The following is a 21,283-nucleotide window of genomic DNA, read 5'->3' as shown; positions in this document are numbered from 1 at the left end:
CTGCACTCCAGCCTGGGTGACAAAGTGAGACCCTGTTTCAAAAAAAAAAAAGAAAGAAAAGAAAAGAAAAGAAATTATGGGACAGCTTAGTGCATAGGAAAATTGTGACGACTTTGATATTGCCATAATGTAAAACGTTATGTGAGAACAAAGGAGCTGATACTGGAAAGATTGTTGAGAACCACATTGAAAGGGCCTTGGTTGACCACGTAAGGATTTTGGACTTTAACCCATATGTGAAGAGAAGGGGGATGGAAACATCACTAGAAATGTACCCTAGGTGGATATCAACCCTGTAGCATTGCTCTAGGTGGATATCAACCCTGGTAGCATTGAGGAGAGTGGTTACCTAGATGAAGGCATTTGCAAGTTCTAGACACCAGAAAAATGGCTCTTGACATTGTTCAAGTGAGACTGGCAGCAGTGGAGAGAGGGAGAGACAATTTAGAAATAGATAAAGCCTAAAGAAAAGGGCATGGGAATCTAGGAATGAGTATGATTGAGTTTGGATGTTCCCCTGACTACATTATATGCATTATTACATTTATAATTCAGTCTTCCTTTTTTGTTTCTTTCAAATCAAAAACATAAATGATTGAATTTAGGGAACATTACTTACATCCTACTAGAATCAAAAGGACCAGTGGGCATTTTAAGAATTGTTTAAGGTTCACATAGTAAAAAATGAATAAAGGACCATTTAAAAACAAGAAAAACTATTATATAATTACTGTTTTCTTTTTTTGTATATTATAGTTTTTTTAATTTTATTATTATACTTTACGTTTTAGGGTACATGTGCACAACGTGCAGGTTTGTTACATATGTATACATGTACCATGTTGGTGTGCTGCACCCATTAACTCGTCATTTAGCATTAGGTATATCTCCTAATGCTATCCCTCCCCCCTCCCCCCACCCCACCCCACAACAGGCCCCTGTATGTGATGTTCCCCTTCCTGTGTCCATGTGTTCTCATTGTTCAATTCCCACCTGTGAGTGAGAACATGCAGTGTTTGGTTTTTTGTCCTTGCGCTAGTTTGCTGAGAATGATGGTTTCCAGCTTCATCCATGTCCCTACAAAGGACATGAACTCATCATTTTTTATGGCTGCATAGTATTCCATGGTGTATATGTGCCACATTTTCTTAATCCAGTCTATCATTGTTGGACATTTGGGTTGATTCCAAGTCTTAGCTATTGTGAATAGTGCTGCAATAAACATATGTGTGCATGTGTCTTTATAGCAGCATGATTTATAATCCTTTGGGTATATACCCAGTAATGGGATGGCTGGGTCAAATGGTATTTCTAGTTCTAGATCCCTGAGGAATCGCCACACTGACTTCCACAGTGGTTGAACTAGTTGACAGTCCCACCAACAGTGTAAAAGTGTTCCTATTTCTCCACATCCTCTCCAGCACCTGTTGTTTCCTTACTTTTTAATGATTGCCATTCTAACTGGTGGGAGATGGTATCTCATTGTGGTTTTGATTTGCATTTCTCTGATGGCCAGTGATGGTGAGCATTTTTTCATGTGTTTTTTGGCTGCATAAATGTCTTCTTTTGAGAAGTGTCTGTTCATATCCTTCGCCCACTTTTTGATGGGGTTGTTTGTTTTTTTCTTGTAAATTTGTTTGAGTTCATTGTAGATTCTGGATATTAGCCCTTTGTCAGATGAGTAGGTTGCAAAAATTTTCTCCCATTCTGTAGGTTGCCTGTTCACTCTGATGGTAGTTTCTTTTGCTGTGCAGAAGCTCTTTAGTTTAATTAGATCCCATTTGTCAATTGTGGCTTTTGTTACCATTGCTTTTGGTGTTTTAGACATGAAGTCCTTGCCCATGCCTATGTCCTGAATGATATTGCCTAGGTTTTCTTCTAGGGTTTTTATGGTTTTAGGTCTAACATGTAAGTATTTAATCCATCTTGAATTAATTTTTGCATAAGGTGTAAGGAAGCGATCCACTTTCAGCTTTCTACATATGGCTAGCCAGTTTTCCCAGCACCATTTATTAAATAGGGAATGCCTTCCCCATTTCTTGTTTTTGTTAGGTTTGTCAAAGATCAGATAGTTGTAGATATGTGTCATTATTTCTGAGGGCTCTGTTCTCTTCCATTGGTCTATATCTCTGTTTTGGTACCAGTACCATGCTGTTTTGGTGACTGTAGCCTTGTAGTATAGTTTGAAGTCAGGTAGTGTGATGCCTCCAGCTTTGTTCTTTTGGCTTAGGATTGACTTGGCAATGTGGGCTCTTTTTTGGTTCCATGTGAACTTTAAAGTAGTTTTTTCCAATTCTGCAAAGAAAGTCATTGGTATCTTGATGGGGATGGCATTGAATCTATAAATTACCTTGGGCAGTATGGTCATTTTCACAATATTGATTCTTCCTATCCATGAGCATGGAATGTTCTTCCATTTGTTTGTGTCCTCTTTTATTTCATTGAGCAGTGGTTTGTAGTTCTCCTTGAAGAGGTCCTTCACATCCCTTCTAAGTTTGATTCCTAGGTATTTTATTCTCTTTGAAGCAACTGTGAATGGGAGTTCACTCATGATTTGGCTCTGTTTGTCTCTTATTGATGTAGAGGAATGCTTGTGATTTTTGCACATTGATTTTTTATCCTGAGATTTGCTGAAGTTGCTTATCAGCTTAAGGAGCTGAGACGATGGGGTTTTCTAAATATGCAGTAATGTCATCTGCAAACACGGACAATTTGACTTCCTTTTTCCTAATTGAATACCCTTTATTTCTTTCTCCTGCCTGATTGCCCTGGCCAGAACTTCCAACACTATGTTGAATAGGAGTGGTGAGAGAGGGCATCCCTGTCTTGTGCCAGTTTTCAAAGGGAATGCTTCCAGTTTTTGCCCATTCAGTTGATATTGGCTGTGGGTTTGTCATAAATAGCTCTTATTATTTTGAGATACGTCCCATCAATACCTAGTTTATTGAGAGTTTTTAGCATGAACTGCTGTTGAATTTTGTCAAAGGCCTTTTCTGCATCTATTGAGATAATCATGTGGTTTTTGTCTTTGGTTCTGTTTATATGATGGATTACATTTGTTGATTTGTGTATGTTGAACCAGCCTTGCATCCCAGGGATGAAGCCCACTTGATCATAGTGGATAAGCTTTTTGATGTGCTGCTGGATTCGGTTTGCCAGTATTTTATTGAGGATTTTTGCATCAATGTTCATCAAGGATATTGGTCTAAAATTCTCTTTTTTTGTTGTGTCTCTGCCAGGCTTTGGTATCAGGATGATGTTGGCCTCATAAAATGAGTTAGGGAGGATTCCCTCTTTTTCTATTGATTGGAATAGTTTCAGAAGGAATGGTACCAGCTCCTCCTTGTACCTCTGGTAGAATTCGGCTGTGAATCCATCTGGTCCTGAACATTTTTTGGTTGGTAAGCTATTAATTATTGCCTCAATTTCAGAGCCTGTTATTGGTCTATTCAGAGATTCAACTTCTTCCTGGTTTAGTCTTGGGAGGGTGTGTGTGTTGATGAATTTATCCATTTCTTCTAGGTTTTCTAGTTTATTTGTGTACAGGTGTTTATAGTATTTTCTGATGGTAGTTTGTATTTCTGTAGGATCGGTGGTGATGTCCCCTTTATCATTTTCTATTGCATCTATTTGGTTCTTCTCTCTTTTCTTCTTTATTAGTCTTGCTAGTGGTCTATCAATTTTGTTGATCTTTTCAAAAAACCAGCTCCTGGATTCATTGATTTTTTGAAGGTTTTTTTGTGTCTCTATTTCCTTCAGTCCTGCTCTGATCTTAGTTATTTCTTGCCTTCTGCTAGCTTTTGAATGTGTTTGCTCTTGCTTCTCTAGTTCTTTTAATTGTGATGTTAGGGTGTCAATTTTAGATCTTTCCTGCTTTCTCTTGTGGGCATTTAGTGCTATAAATTTCCCTCTACACACTGCTTTGAATGTGTCCCAGAGATTCTGGTATGTTGTGTCTTTGTTCTCATTGGTTTCAAAGAACATCTTTATTTCTGCCTTTATTTCGTTATGTACCCAGTAGTCATTCAGGAGCAGGTTGTTCAGTTTCCATGTAATTGAGTGGTTTTGAGTGAGTTTCTTAATCCTGAGTTCTATACTTCATTTATAGTAATGCTTATTTTTCTTCATTAGCTCCCAATAAAAGTCTGTATTTCTTGCTGCTCAAGTAATGATTAAGTGTCGTTAAATATAAGGCTTGGAAATATTGTTTAGAAAAGTTTTAGTGTTTTGAAAACCCAGAAGTTAATATATCATTGTTAGTAAACTACAGATTAGAGAGTTTAGCTGAAAATACCACTTGAAAGGTTAAACTTTAAAACACTTACGATTTTTTTTTTTTTTTGAGGCAGAGTCTCACTCTGTTGCCCAGGCTGGAGTGCAGTGGTGCAATCTCAACTCCCTGCAGCTTCCGCCTCCTGGGTTCAAGTGATTCTCCTGCCTCAGCCTCCTGAGTAGCTGGGATTACAGGTACCTGCCACCACGCCCAGCTAATTTGTGTATTTTCAGTAGAGACAGGGTTTCACTGTGTTTGCCAGGCTGGTCTCAAACTCTTGACCTCGTGATCCGCCTGCCTTGGTCTCCCAAAGTGATGAGATTACAAGCATGAGCCACCGCACCCGGCCAACACTTATGATTTTTAAAGAACCTAACCATTAATGACAAAAATAGAAGGTTATTGAACAATTGATAAGATCATTTTCAAATTGGAACAACTGGCTGGACCATGAGGAGTGCAGATTTAAGCTAAGTACATTCTGGAGCAGTTGTGTAAGCCAGGTCACCAGGTCCTGAAAACAGTCTCCAGTAATTGACTTTGGACACCATTGTCAAAATGCAGCTGATATAACTGCTTAGTTCACATCCCAGTTCTGAACAGACACACTTTTTTGTCTGTTTCAATGTTAGGTCTTTTCAGAGTTAGGATTTATTTTTTCCACTCAGTAGTTGGCATGGCAATGTATTAGGCCTGGTGTAGAATGCAACTCTAGTTCTCTCACAGTGAGTTAGGGCACTTGTGCATCATACACAATTCATCATATCTTACTGAGTAAAGATTAATGTGCTTTGTTAACTTCTCCAAAAGCTCATTTACTTGAAGTGGATCATATACTTGTAGGAATCTAATCTGCATGTCTCAGGAAGGAGGCTGAGCACCATGGCACTCCCAGGCGCATTTGCTTACCATGCTGGGTGATTTTCCCTTATGGCTCCAGCGTGAGAGCTCTTCAGCAACACACCGGAGCCGAACAGCCATGAGCGCAACCCCCTGGGCTTTCTCAGCCATTGCTGGCATTCGAGAAACTCCCTTTTCAGAAGAGTAGAAAAATGTGGCCTTGGAAGGCTCAGACTTTCCTCCTCAACTCTCTCTCTCTCTCTATGGGTGTGGTAGGCAGAGTGCTGTCACCCATGGCCCATGTCCACCTTCCTGGAACCGGTGAATATGTCATCTTACAGGACACAGGGATTTTGCAGAGGGGATTAAGTTCAGGAGAGTAAGATAGAAAGGTTATTCTGGATCAGGGACAGGCCCAAGGGCATCACAGCAGTCGTGTAGGAGGAGACGTGGTCATGGAGACAGATGTTCAGGTGATGTGTGGAAGGGGTCGGAAGCCACAGAATGCCGGTGGCCTCCAGAAGCAGAAAAACGCATGGACACAGAGGTTCCTTGGAGCCTCCACAAGGAAGGCAGTTCGCTGACACCTTGATTTCTTTATTTTTGCCCTCCAACCTAGTAATTGTGTGCCATTTTCAATCATTAAGCTAATTTGTTGTAGGAATAACGTTGCATTAATTTCCTAGTACAATGGCAAATCATGACCTCTTGAGCAGCCCCCACCAAGTACCTAAATTTATTTGTCATGAAACCTGCAAATCATGGACCTCTCGAGCAGCCTACACCAAAAATTCACTTGTCACGAAACCTGCCTCAGCTTCCTATAGTGCCACGGTGGGAAGCATGTGACGTATTTATAGACATGCATTTTGTAAACCGTAAGGCCCAGCGTGTGTATGAGGGCACAGCCTAACGAGGCTTACCTGGAGGAAGGAATGGCACTGCACGCTGCTTCCTTGGCTCAATCTGAGTGCTGTGTGTTCAAATCCTGGATGAAATGTTGGAGCACTCTGAGCTGCATTTTATTTTCAGAAGTTCCTCCCCAGAGGTGTCCGTGCTGCCTGCCTCCGTGAGGGGTACTGTGTGTAGTGGGAAGCAGGTTTGTGTGTCTGCATGAGGACTGGGCAGGCAGGTGACACTGCTGTTGAACAGTCCCTTGGAGGAAAGAGGAAGAAGTGCTTCAGAGAGAAGAAGGTAGCTGGGCCAGAGAATTCAGCTCCATCAGTAAGACCCAAGGTGAGGAGGAGCCAACTCTAAAGACAGAGGAGACTAACTGCAGAACACACAGCCTTATAAAGTCGGTGGCTTCTCACATTAACACTGTGTCCCTCACTCAAGTCCTGTGAGCCATCAAATGCGAGGACGGGGTTCTGCCCCACAGCTGTCCTGGTCCTGAGACCCTCACCCTTTTCTCCTGTGGCTCCTCCCTCTCCCATTGACTCGGGGGAAGGAGAGTGTGACGGGGGATCACGCTATACCCCGCAGATAGTCATGGGTATCTGCATTTCACGCAGTCTACACCATCCCTTATGGCAGGGAAGGCCATCAAATTGTGGCCGGCAAGAAGGCAGTGCCCAAGTGTGCAGTCTGTCCCGCACAATTTTTTTGTAAGCATAGTTTTTCTGAAAACGTTGGTTAACTTTAGAAATTGGCATTTCAAAAGATCTCCTATCAAAAAGAATGTTTGTTTTTCAAAGCAAAGGATGAACTTTTTATGAAGAAGCAGTCCCACACTTTACTTTGTTATTAAGGACAATGTTTGTAAAGATCTCATTGTGATGTTCTTCTCCCACTTCTGAACCTTTCCAAAGCCTACTCATTTTTTTAAAATAATCTAACTAAAAAGCCTCTGATTCTTTGAAGACAAAACTTAGTCCTGTCTCTGAAATTGACCTTTCACTCCTTTGGTCTATGGTGTTTTTATTAGTTAATTTTTATTTATAATTGACACGTGGTAATTGTACATGCTTATGGAATATGGTGTGATGTTTCAATGCATATATACACAGTATCATGAAATTGGTCTTTCACTCTTTTGGTCTATGGTATTTTTATTAGTTAATTTTAATTTTATTTTTTTTGAGACAGAGTCTCGCTCTGTCGCCCAGGCTGGAGTGCAGTGCTCACTGCAACCTCTGCCTCCTGGGTTCAAGCGATTCTCCTGCCTCAGCCTCCTGAGTAGCTGGGATTACAGGCACACACCACAACGCCTGGCTAATTTTTGTATTTTTTAGTAGAGATGGGGTTTCACCATGTTGGTCAAGCTGATCTCAAGCTCCTGACCTTATGATCCACTCGCCTAGGCCTCCCAAAGTGCTGGGATTACAGGCATGAGCCACCCCGCCCTGCCTAATTTTCATTTCTAATTGACACGTGGTAATTGTACATGTTTATGGAATACAGTGTGATGTGTCAATGCGTATATACATAGTATCATGATGGAATTGAGGAAGTTACCATGTCCATCATTTTAAACTTTTACCATTTATCTTGGTGGTAATAATATTCTAAATCTTCTCTTCTGGCTATCTTGAAATACGCAATACCTTGTTATTTGCTCTGGTTATCCTACTGTGTAATAGAATACCAGAGCTCGGTCCTCTTGCCTAACTGTAACTTGGTACTGGTTGGCCAACCACTCCTGGGGCCCATACCCCTGCCCCTTCCTAGTCTCTGGTAACCACTGTTCTATTCTTTGCTCTCTATGAAATCAACTGTTTTAGCCTCTATGTATGAATGAAATCATGCAGTGTTTGTCTTTCTGTGTCTGGCTTATTTCACTTAACATTATGACCTCCAGGTTCATCCATGTTGCCACAAATAACAGAATTTCCTTCTTTTTTTATTGCTGGGTAGTGTTCCATTGTGTACGTGTGTGTGTATATATTATATATATAATATATACACATATTCATTGTGTATGTGTGTGCATGTATATATATGTATGTTATTTATACCTATACATATTCATTGTATGCATGTGTGTGTGCATGTGTATATATGTGTGTATGTTATATACATCTGTACACATTCGTTGTGTGTGTGTGCATGTGTATATATGTGTGTATGTTAGGTACATCTCTACACATTCGTTGTGTGCGTGTGTGTGTGCATGTGTGTATATATGTGTGTATATGTTATATACATCTCTACACATTCATTGTGTGTGTGTGTGCATGTGTGTATATATGTGTGTGTTATATACATCTCTACACATTCGTTGTGTGTGTGTGCATGTATGTATACATGTGTTTATATTATATACATCTCTACACATTCGTTGTATGCGTGTGTGTGTGCATGTGTGTATATACGTGTGTATATGTTACATATATCTGCACCTTCGTTGTGTGCATGTGTGTGTGCATGTATGTATGTATATATGGGTGTATATGTTATATACATCTCTACACATTCGTTGTATGCATGTGTGTGTGCATGTGTGTATATACACCTGCAGATAGATAGATATACCATGTTTTTATGCGCTCATCTGTGGTTGGGCACAGTCAATAGTATTTTATTCTGTCCCTTGGGTAAGGCCTTTTCCTTTTCTGTCTTGTTTTGGAGATACTTCTGCATATGTACATAAATTTTAAAATTATAAATCAAGGAAACCCACCTCATTTATTATTATCTCATAGTAGATGTTCCTTAAACATTGAATAAATAATGACTGAAAGGACTGTGGTAAATCACTTTCTTTTCTGACCTGTTTCCTCTAAAACAAACAATTCAGACTAGATATCTATTTCTCAGCCATATTTGTTCATCAGAAATTACCAGAAACAGTTGTAATAATACAGTTGCCTGTTCCCTAACCAACATTCAAAAATTCATAATAGCCAATGATGGGCCTACACATCAATATTTTTAAAAATTTATAATAATTTTCCTTAACATTCGCACTGTAATATATTTCTTCTTTTTTTATCTTCAACCTTTTTGTGTCCTTACATTTCAGATCTGACTCTTGAAAGCAGCATTTAGTTGGGTTCAATTTTTAATCTGGTGTGATAATCTTTGACTATTGATGGTCCTGTGTACTACTTTCACATCTCAATGTAATTATTAATGGGTTGCATTCTCCAGTTTACTATTTTCTAATTTTCCTCCTTTTTTATGACTTTCTTCTTAATCTTATTTGCATTTAGTATTTTATATTATTCCTTTATTCTGTCTATAACTTTGATAGTGATAGATTTTTTACTAGGTTTTATTGACTTTCTAAAATTTAATATCAAGGGTAGTTTTACCATTTTACAAAAACACAATGAAATTACCAATGCTTTAACTCCAACTACTTCCCCCTATTTGTGTGTTACTGTAGGTGAGGTTTTATAAATATTAAATATGTTATATGTTATATAATATAAACCACATATTATAATGTGATATATGGATATATATATTGAATGTAATTTTTATTATAAATACACTAAATTATAAGATATTATTGTTATTTTATACAGTCAATGATTATTTCATTTTACCCACATACTTACAGTATTTGTTGTTCATGTCTACATGTATCTCTGGATTACAAGCAGATAATTTTACTTCTGACTAAATAATTTTTTAGCATTTCACTTAATGCAGATCTGCTGATTACAAGTGCTTCTATTTTTAATGTATCTAAAATCCTTTACCTTCATTTTTAAGGATTTTTTTTTCACCCACATAGGCAATCACTTTATTTAAGCATTTTTAGTATAGAATCCCATTGTCATCTGAATACCATCATTTTTTGCTGAGAAATGAGCTGTCAGTAACTGCTGGCATTTAAAAAATTTTTTCCTGATATTTGATTTCCAGAAGTTTTACTATGATATGCCCAGATGTGATTTGCTTTGTATTTATCCCCCCTTGAAATTTCTATTGCTTGTTGAACTTGTAGGCTAATGCCTTTCATCATGTTTGAAAAATTCTTACATTTTATCTTTTTAAATACTGCTTTTGCTCCTCTTGCCTCTCCTTATGGGACTCCTGTTTTGCATGTGATAGGGTTTTATACTGTGTCTTATATATATCTTATATTCTTTTATGTATTTTCTACCATTTTATCACTATATATTAATATTGGTAGTTTCTCCTAGCCCATTTTCCAGTTCACTAATTCTCTCTTTGGCCTGTCATATTCTGTTGTTAATCTCATCAACTGAGATCCTAACTTCAATTATTATAGTTTTTAATTCTAAAATTTCCACTTGGTTTTTAAGATAAGTTTTATTTATCTCTTGAAATTTAACTTCTTGTTAAATGTGTTAGCATTTTCATCATAATGAGTTTAAATTTCTGTGAGTCTCAATGTATTTGTTTCTATTGGTTGTTATTTTCTCCTGAGGTTTGGTCAAATCTATCATGTCATACTCCTTGTTTCATTTTGCTTGAATTTCAGACATTGTAGATGAAAGATTGTAGCCTTACTCTCAGCCTCTGTATTATATTATCTTCTTACAGAAAAGATTTGCTGCTTCTAGGCATCTAAATCACAGAAAAACACCTCAATCCAATCATGAATTGATGATTCAAAGCCATGGTTTATTACCTGTGAGAGCTGAGCTATTTTCAGTTTATCCTTCTTCCTAGCATGTAATCCTATGGGATCCCAACTGGAAGCCTATGGTGTTTACCAAGGAGCTTCCCTCTCAGGAGGCCATGAATCTTAAGCTTATGCCCCGCATGATGCAATTTTGACAAACCTTCTGTTCAGATATTCAGATCATCATGAAACTCTTTGGTATCAATAAATGCTGTAAGCAGGAAAGATGTGCTACACCTAGGTCTTACTCTCTGGATTTCTCTCTGCATGCAATGTTGACTGTGCACATCATGACTGATTCCCACTGCCTTCAAATGGGTTGTGTAGAGTCTTACATTTCTAATTATTATCAGCAGGGGGATTATTCTGAAACAAGATTGTTTGTCTTTGCAAAAGCAGAGCCACTTCTTTCTCTAATCCACAAGTGACTACATCAGGTAGTTAAGTTTGAAGATCATTCACTGGAGTAGATGTTGTCTAAGACTCTTTATAGCATTTATCCTTAGCATTCCATATTAGCAAAGTGACAATAATAACTTCATTTGACAGTATACATTTATCCAATTTTTAAGCTATCAACTTGGTTCTTGGCTTAAAGTTGGTCTTTAGAGTTGTTCTTAAAGTTGTTCTTGAAGGTTCTTGGCTTTAGAGTTGTTGGTGCAGGGTTAATGAAAGGATCTGATGAGGGGGGAAGGTCTCACAGCCAGCTGGGAAACTTCTTGAGCAGCCAGACAAGTGTCAGTTTCCTGGAGTGACAGACACTCTACTGCTTCTGAAAAAAGGAGCAGGACAAGTCTCCCCACTGGCCTCTCAAAGTGGGCATGTACACACAGCCCAAAGCTTCCAAACGGCAGCAAGGTGGTCCCAGCAGAGGAATGTCGCACCTTTCTCCCCATCCTGTATGTAACACTTCTAAAGGAATATAGCTATACATTTTATATCTCAATATCATACAAAAGCTCTTGGTATTAACAAGTTTCTGTCGTGTTCTAAAGGGAGATAAAATATGAATAACTACAGGCCAGGTGCAGTGGCTCACTCTTATAATCCCAGCATTTTGGGAGGTTGCTTGAGCCCAGGAGCTCAAGACCAGCCTGGGCAACATAGCAAGACCTCATCTTTACAAATAACTTAAAACTTGGTCAGAAAAAGGGGCTTGTGCCTGTGGTCCCAGCTACTTAGGAGGCTAAGGTGGGAAGATCACTTGAGCCCCAGGAGTCAAGGCTGCAGCGAGCCATGACCACACCACTGCACTTCAGCCTGGGGGACAGAGTGAGAACCCATCTCAAAAATATATATATATATGAATAATAGCTATAAAATAACCATCAGGTGAATAATCTTACAGATCATTGAGGAAACATTAATAAATAAAATATCAAAAAAATTTAAATCACTATAATGATTTAGAGAACAAAAACATAATTTTTATTAAAAATAATTTTATATACAGATGTTGTTCAAGTATTTTATTTTAAATCCTAACTACAAAATGAAGCCTTGGACTGTTTCATATTCAAGAAATTTCTCCAGCTCTAAAATAATACAGAAGGAGCTGATTCACCCCTAGGTGTCTAAAACGTCCCTCATAAAACCCAGCGTTCACTGTTTCCTGATCCAAGTAGTAATCTGCTCAGTCCTGCCTAGCTATCCAAATCTGATCAAAATCACAGAACTATGTAATGAGGCAGCAGACGACTGCTCAGTTATTTTCAATTCTCACTCTTTTGTCTTTTCTTAGAATTTGCCAGATATAAGTGGCATACCAAAGATGAGATTATAGATTGTATGGTTGAAGTTCCAGACCCAAAATGGATCAATAACATATTCCACAGCTTTACAGATGGGACTGTGGAGAACAAACCCTACACATTTGCCTCATTTACTGAAGCCAAAAAGCCCAAATCCTGGGGAGACAACTGACCGTGTGCAGCCGCAGGAGGACATTCTGACTCCAGGGCACATGACTTTGCTGTGTTTTCAAGCACTTAAGCATTTCTGTGATTCATAACTAGCAAATCTTTTTGACAAAAGTGTTGTTTTCATTTTCAAAGTCCAGAAAGACAACATGATTTTCTAATCCAGACACTGACTTTATATCTGGAGTCTCCGGGCATGGTGTCTCATGCCTGTAATCCTGGCACTTTGGGAGGCCAAGGTGGGTGGATCACCTGAGGTCAGGAGATTGAGACCAGCCTGGCCAACATGGTGAAACCCCGTCTCTACTAAAAATATAAAAAATAGCCAGGCGTGGTGGTGGGCACCTATAATCCCAGCTACTTGGGAGGCTGAGGCAGGAGAATCACTGAGGCAGGAGAATCACTGAGGCAGGAGGCAGAGGTTGCAGTGAGTTGAAATTGCGCCACTGCACTCCAGTCTGGGTGACAGAGTGAGACTCTGTCTTAAGAAAAAAAACAAAACCTGAAGAGCCAGGGAGTATACATTCCTTAGTATGGAACTGGTAGTTCTGCCTTTGAAAAGCAGAATCCCCAACTTGTTAGGGTTAACAGACAGGTCCTCAAGCCTTGACTCGTTGGCTAGATTCCCAAGCCAACTGCACCCTCCTCCCCTAAAGGAGGGGCCATTCTGTGGTGAATCCCAGCCTCTGCTCCCATCACCGTCCCCCAATTGCAGTCCTCCCAGCCCCAGAGGGTAGCTCCTCCTTCACAATGAGGGACTGTGGAGACACTTGGATGAGGCTTTGTGCTCTGCTAGGATCAATTCAAATTTGGGTGAGACAGAAAGAAGAGATGAACAGCCAGACATTTGAGAAGAAAGAAAACAGAGCCAGCCACTGAATGACAATTAAGTATGTGACGATATCCACCCACTGCCAGGACCAACAGACGCTCTCCGTATTGTACGCACTGGGAAGTTTAAGATATTCTGCTGCATGTTTTCATAATGAGACTTCTTTTCAGAGAGGGAAGCTAGAAAGCATCATCCTATATGAAAAAAAAAAAAAAATGAAACTAACATGAAACACTGAATAAAAGGATAAAGAAAAAAGAAGCAAAGCTGTAGCTGCGCATTTGAGTCATTATCCTAGAAACTTTACGTGTTACCTTACTGTCCCTTACAACTGCTCTGTAACGTGTGGAGGGAGGAGTGGAATTCTAGATGGTGTTCCGCCAGACTGCACTCCGAGTGCATCAGCACCGCATGTTTTATCTGAACTATATTTACAGTGTATAAGATGATTCAGGTCAGCCTTCTATTTCAGAAATTCACAATCTATGGGAAAGTTCTGGCAAAGTACACACCAGAACTAGATTTAAAGACAAATATTCCAGCTCCCAGCCCAGGATGTGCCCCAACACAGAGAGGCCTCTAGAAAGAGACTGATTTCTGCCAGGTTCCAGTAGGACTAATTGGCTCTTACTTTCCTCCAGACAAGGATGCCGTCTGCAGTCTGTCATCTCATCTGTATGGATAACGTAGGGTCTGCTACAGAGTACAACTTTGAAAAATATTTAGGAAAAAATTAACAAACTATGCTGGAGGTTGTGCAGCAACGCTGAATTCATAAAACCTGGGCTAATCTATGTCCTGAAGATTCTTCCTCTAGGCCATCTTCTGCTTAAAAGGATGAGAAATGGTAAATGGGATTTAGGAAAAATTTGAGTTGGAAATAAATCGATTCCCACACAGGCTGTATATTTGCATCTACATATTCAAAGGGTCTTGATTCTGCTGTGGTTTACTGACACGTAGCTGGCTTTAATACATATTTACTGAAGCCCTACCACCTGCAGACGTCCTGACCCAACTGTCCACATGCACACCAGTCCCAGGCTCATGGCATTAGTGCACTTTCCCAGCATTTCTTCCCCTGGGGATGTGAAAGGATTCTGCTTCCTGTAGGATGCTGAGGTCCCTGCTGTAGAGCAGTGAGGATGGGCGGCTTCGGGTTGGCACCCTGTGTGTTTACTCCGAGTCAGATTTTTAAAAATGCATCCCAGAGTGCTCTCACATGTTCTTCATAATGGATATGGTTCTGACATTTTCCCTGAGTCTCTAATCCTGATGAAAAGCAGATGGTATTTACTTGCAAAACTCCAATCTGACCTGCCAGTGTTATCCTCTCCTGCGACCTGGCTCTTTGCCATTGGCCCTAAGAGGGATCCTAGCAGGCACAGCCTTCTCAGACTCAACCATTCCCATCCCTCCTTCATCCTGTGCTGGGAAGGGAGCCATTCCATCCATGCCTAGGGGTGGCTTCTGGAAGTTCCCTCTGCCTGACACATAACCAGTGCACCCTGCCGTCTTCAAGCAAGACCTCACTTAAAACAACCTGGACAGCCAGGCGCGGTGGCCCACGCCTGTAATCCCAGCACTTTGGGAGGTTGAGGCGGGAGGATCACCTGAGGTTGGGAGTTTGAGACCTGCCTGACCAACATGGAGAAACCCTGTCTCTACTAAAAATACAAAATTACCTGGGTGTGGTGGTGCATGCCTGTAATCCCACCTACTTGGGAGGCTGAGGCAGGAGAATCACTTGAACCTGGGAGGTGGAGGTTGTGGTGAGCCAAGATTGTGCCACTGCACTCCAGCCTGGGAAACAAGAGTGAAACTCTGTCTTAAAAACACCACCCTGGACACATAAGAACCTGCCATACGCTTGATCATGGCAGAAGAGTCAGAACATTTATTACAATCACCTATTCTGAGTATGAACAGGTTATCTCATTCATTCATCCATTCACTTATTTATGAGATGTTTAAAAAGTGCCCCATGCAGTAGACACTGTGGTGATACTGAAGGAATCCAGGACACAAGTACTTTCTTCTGTGAGCTTTCTTCTTCTTTTTTTTTTTTTTTTTTTTTTAACAGGTCTTGCTCTGTGGCCCAGCAGGCTGGAGCTCAGAAATATTAACATCTGCCTGAGACAGATCCCCAGGAAGTCTAAAGGCTGGGAAAAAAAAAATAGGCATACAGACAGTTTGGTTTCCTTCTCATTACACCATCTGGTGTGATCTCGGCTCCCTGCAACCTCGACCTCCCAGGCTCAAGTGATCCTCCTGCCTCAGCCTCCCGAGTAGCTGGGACTACAGGCGTGTGCCACTGCCTGGCTAATTTCTGTATTTTTTGTAGAGACAGGGTTTCACCATGTTACCCTGGCTGGTCTCAAATCCCTGAGCTCAAGTGATCTGCCTGCCTCATCCTCCCAGAGTGCTGGGACTACAGGCATGAGCCACTGTGCCCGTCCTTCTTCCAATAAGAGGAAAAGTAAATAAATAATTAAGAAAATATTAAAAATCAGGGCCCTAAACATGGGAAAACAGCAGGGCCAATACAGAAAGCGAAGGATGAGCCCTATGGGAGAGAGGAGAAACACTGAGGTGTTACCTGGGCTTCCTCTCAGAAAAACCAGCTGTGCAGTGGCCCTGAGGAAGGGAGAGCTCGGTGTGTGCACACAAAGAAGGAACTGTGTGGTCCCGAGAAGGCGCTTCTCCCCGTGCGTCCTGAGAACGCTCCTTCTCCCCGTGCGGTCCTGAGAACGAGCTTCTCCCCGTGCGGTCCTGAGAACGCTGCTTCTCCCCGTGCCGTCCTGAGAACCCTGCTTCTCCCCGTGCGGTCCTGAGAACGAGCTTCTCCCCGTGCGGTCCTGAGAATGCGCTTCTCACCGTGAGGTCCTGAGAACGCTGCTTCTCACCAGGTTCAGTTACAAGGGCTCTTCATAGGCTTAATAGTCTGAAGCCCTCGCAGAGATTTTGTTCATGAAAGTTATAGCTACCACATTAACAATTAAAACTAAGATATTTTAAAACATTATTTGCTTTTTAGTTATTAAAAATATTTTTAAAACCCAGTACCTGTTAATATAAGTGATTATATATTTATGAAAAATAATATTTTCCATAAAAAAGACATTTATTGAAAGAGCGTCATTGTTTCACATTTAGCAAATGTCTTTCATGCGTGTCTTAATAGAGCAGCTGAATTCTCATCTGCCTCTGCACTTAACATATTGCATAAGTTGTTTTGGCTGAAGCATTTGAAGATAATCCAACCCCACAGATGATGTAGTTGCATGAGGGAAGACCCCCGAAAGGCCATGAAAGGGTGGAGGGCACCCCCACAGGCTCACGAACCCCATTTTGGGAACTGCTCCAGGAGAACATTGTGAGCAACACAGGAGTCAGGAGGGATGAGGAGGAGCCGCCTCTTACGCTGCGGTGGCGGCATGGCCAGGAGTTCAGGTTTTGGAAGCCCCAAACGCAATCAGAAGCTCTTATATAGTATGATGCAATTTCATTTTTAGAACGATGGTCCTGCTGCTGTGTGGAGAATGCACTGGAGGGGAAGCAATGGATTGGAGAGGCTGGTTAGGAGGCTATGTTCTTGGCTACGCTGGGGAGGAAGGCGGCAGCAGCTCAAATTAATTTCCTCTCCCTGTAGTCTCGCAGAGTAAACACGCTCACTTGAAGCATGTGTGAGAGGAGAAGCTTCCCAGGTCTTCAGCAACCATCTATCCTAGGGAAATCAGACTGTGGCAGGACAAAGCTTTTGTATTTTAATTTTGCCTTGGAAGTGGATTTCAAAACTCACATCACTCAAAACTCTGACCCACCTGCATTTGGCCAGCTTGTCAGCAAGATGACAGCTTCTTCTCTCTGATTTTCTTAAACTCCTACCACTTCCCATAAGCAATAAGCTTGGAAAACATGAGCATCTGCCCGAGACAGATCCCCAGGAAGTCTAAAGCCTGGGCAAAAAAGGGAGAGGAAGGGAATACACAGAACATTGGATTTCCTATTAGGGCTGCACCCTGGCTTTCATTATGCCGTCTGTCTGACTCTTAATAGACCTAGCCCAGGCACACAGATCAGGACTTATTTTCTAGGCCATTTTAAATAGATTAGGAAATGTAAAGGTCCCTTAAATGACATAATTTGGCATTAAGCACTGCACACGCTTGTGCACGGCTCCTATCGGCGTGAGCGTGTGCCTGCTGGTAAGTTCGTGCATCCATCAAAGCTCAGCTTGGGGGATTGGCAGTGTGTGTTCCCCCAGCTTGAAAGGAGATGCACCTCTTAATTCCACATCCAGGTGCATAGCACCCCACCAAATAGCAGAATCGTTTTTAGAATTCTAAACAAAACAGTTCCGAATTCATGTTGTTTTGGGTTTGTCAATATTACCATTAACTTTCGGTAATACTGAGTAATATGCCTTTTTGTGTTAGGTTCATACACAAATATAGGTGTTTTGCCATGGGAAGGAAGTGTATGTGTGTGTGCATGCATTTGTGTGTGTAATTTTTAGTAGTAAATGAACCATTTATTTTTACTGTAGAGGCTTTATTCAAAGATGTTAGAGCTTGCCATTAAGTGTTATTATGCCAATCTCTAAAAAATATTTTGCACTGAACATTTGTTATTTTAAGGTAGACAGAGGCAAATATGCATATATATTTAATATAAGAGAATATAAATGATAAATGCATACATGTTTATTATATATATGGAGAGAGAGGGATAATCTGAGAACTTTTTTTCAGAATGTTCTTAAATTGCTTAAAAAGAATTGGGGATAAGAACAAAGAATGTACTCATAGGTGTATTGAGACTTGTGGGAGCCTTTGGGAAATGCTGTGAGCAGAGAATAACAGCTTCAAGAACTTATCCAGTAAGATATATTGGCCAACTAAACAGCCCAGGCTGAAGTAGGTATACCTGTGTTGAATTCAGCCATGAATGCAATGGGCCTCTGGAAACGTATTTTTAGCCAGCGTTTAGGTACCAGGTCCCTCCCTCCCTTCTAAAATTATTTTTTAATTCCCTGGAGTGTGCCCCCTTCTGCCACTCATCTGCTTGTTTGGTGCCTGTTCCTTTCCACGGGGGCGAGGCTGGCTTCCTCCCTCTGCCGCTCATCAATACTGAGCTGATTTGGAACTAAGCTGGGTAATAACATGCCTTTCAGCAGCCAGCCCCGCACGCGCCGTGTAATTAAGGCCTGATGGTTGTGTTGACGGCGAATGAAAGAAAATGGCTTTGTTCTCCTTCCCCGGGCTTGATTGTGGGTTCTCGCTCTCACCTGAATTCGACCCACTCTGCATTGTGCCCGTGATTGCTGGAGTGCCAGTAATTGCTGTCCTGGCAGATGACATTTCCATGAAGCACTTTCTGTGCAGCTCCAGAGGGAACGGACAGAGCTGATGGCTGGGGGAAGCTCATCAAAGGCAGATTTAGGAAAGGCCTCGGTGGAAGAGGGAGCCCACGACCAAATATAAGAGCATCTCCTCTGACATTTGCTTGTCTGTCACTCACTGTGCCTGCAACCTGCTTACCCTAGGCCTGCAATCCATAAAGACTGGATTGTGTGAGGATGAATTGCTGTTTAAGTTCATTAAGGCCAAGTTTCGATCATACCTTTTTTAGAAAAAAATTCTTTATTTTGTTTTCCAAAAGGAGGATCAGAGCAAATAGAAATAAATGAAAGGAACTTATCTTCAGAAGATGATATTGCACACAGATCTTTTTAAATCAGTGCCAATAAAGACCAAGGTGAAGATTAGGTTACATTATAAATTGATCTTAACCTTGCTACAGACACTCATGTTAATTTATAATGCAAAGTTTACAATATTTTCGAATTGGAATTTAAGAGTTTATTCGTTGTAGAATTTTATAACAATCTGTTAATTATAGATTTTTGATTCTGCGATGCTTATGCAAAAATTGGGTCAAGAGTTAGTAAGTGTAGGCATCCAGAAAAACCCAAGGATCCTTATTTACTAGAGGGAGTGGCGGGACATGGGATGGTTGACGGGTCTGCAGAACGTGACTTCTTGGGGAGACATGGAGACTTTACAAATGCCTCTCGCAGAAGCTGCTTCCCTCCAATGGTAGTGATGGGGGCAAAGCTAAAAACGTAATTCCAGGATGGGTGCATGAGATTCTCCCTATTATCTGTTCATCGAGGTCCATATTTCTTTTGCGGTGAGCACGCTATCTTGGCTTCAAAAAACGAAAAACATTAACAGTGCGGGACTACAGTTAACCAGTAAGGACCGCAGGACTCGGGAAGGCCCGGCTGCGTCCCCCTCACATAATGACCGCGGAACTCGGGGAGGCCCGGCTACGTCCCCCTCACGAAAGGAACGCGGGACTCGGGAAGGCCCGGAAGGCCTGGCTGCGTCCCCCTCACGTAAGGAACGCGGGACTCGGGAAGGCCCGGAAGGCCTGGCTGCGTCCCCCTCACGTAAGGAACGCGGGCGTCTGGGAGGCCCGGCTGCGTCCCCCTCACGGAAGGAACGCGGGACTCCGGAAGGCCCGGAAGGCCTGGCTGCGTCCCCCTCACGGAAGGAACGCGGGCGTCTGGGAGGCCCGGCTGCGTCCGCCTCACGGAAGGAACGCGGGACTCGGGAAGGCCCGGAAGGCCTGGCTGCGTCCCCCTCAAGGAAGGAACGCGGACGTCTGGGAGGCCCGGCTGCGTCCGCCTCACAGAAGGAACGCGGGACTTGGGAAGGCCCGGAAGGCCCGGCTGCGTCCCCCTCACGTAAGGAACGCGGGCGTCTGGGAGGCCCGGCTGCGTCCCCCTCACAGAAGGAACGCGGGACTCGGGAAGGCCCGGAAGGCCCGGAAGGCCCGGCTGCGTCCCCCTCACGTAAGGAACGCGGGCGTCTGGGAGGCCCGGCTGCGTCCGCCTCACGTAAGGAACGCGGGACTCGGGAAGGCCCGGAAGGCCCGGCTGCGTCCCCCTCACGTAAGGAACGCGGGCGTCTGGGAGGCCCGGCTGCGTCCGCCTCACAGAAGGAACGCGGGACTCGGGAAGGCCCGGAAGGCCTGGCTGCGTCCCCCTCACGGAAGGAACGCGGGACTCGAGGAGGCCCGGCTGCGTCCGCCTCACAGAAGGAACGCGGGACTCGGGAAGGCCCGGAAGGCCTGGCTGCGTCCCCCTCACAGAAGGAACGCGGGACTCGAGGAGGCCCGGCTGCGTCCCCCTCACGTGTGGAGGCCAATCAGGTGAATATATTAGTTTGCACGCCACACAATTTGTGGTGAGTTACTCATATTTGAACAGAGCTATTAAAATACAAGGAAGTAACAAAAACCACACAGTACTGAATGACTAGTTACATTTTAATTAAATAGCACAAATATGTTATATAAGCTTTGTGTGTTGAAAGTGCCCTCATTCCCATTTACCTTCAATGTGTTTGCTATTATTATTATTTTTAAGTCTAGGCCTTTTATAAGGAGGCTTGTATATAAGAGTGGAATGCTTATTAGGTGCAGAACAGAGAGTTATTGGATGGATATGGAAGAGTTGCTGGCTGGTGACTGGAAGGTTTGCAGCATGAGGGCATTTTCTAAATGCAGGAGCTGTGCTGTCTCAGTGGATCCTCTGACAAGCCTTCTAAAGTAGACGCAATTACTATTTGCATTTCAGAGATGACAAAAGTAAAGGCCAGAGAGGTGGCGAAGCTTACCCGAAGCAATGCAACTACTCATGGGGTGGAGCTTTGCACAGTTGCCAGCTAAAGTGCCGAGCTGCGGCCTCTCTTGGCGGGTCCCTTTCTGGGTAGCTGGAAACCTCAAGCCAACCCCAACCACCGATTTAGGCAGGAGTCTCTCCTACAACTGAAGCTGACGGATGAGGAGAGGCTTATATCATCACA

At 42.3% G+C, this 21,283-nt stretch overlaps 1 protein-coding gene across 32 annotated transcripts in view; it reads left to right on the top strand.

The window, feature by feature from the left end:
* Positions 1-21,283, top strand: part of MYT1L (myelin transcription factor 1 like) — a 542,163-nt gene that overhangs the window by 125,236 nt on the left and 395,644 nt on the right. The window contains exon 1 of one of the 32 annotated variants that reach the window (XM_011510323.1): positions 20,396-20,627. The exons of the other annotated variants lie outside the window; for them this stretch is intronic. The gene's annotated coding sequence lies outside the window, so the exon portion shown is untranslated. Of the gene's footprint in view, positions 1-20,395; positions 20,628-21,283 lie in introns of those variants that run through there. 32 annotated transcript variants of the gene reach the window in all.

Source organism: Homo sapiens, chromosome 2 (assembly GCF_000001405.40).
Source record: "Homo sapiens chromosome 2, GRCh38.p14 Primary Assembly".
NCBI lineage: Eukaryota > Metazoa > Chordata > Mammalia > Primates > Hominidae > Homo > Homo sapiens.
Note: the sequence above shows the minus strand (reverse complement) of the source record. Positions and strands in the feature narration are given on the sequence as shown.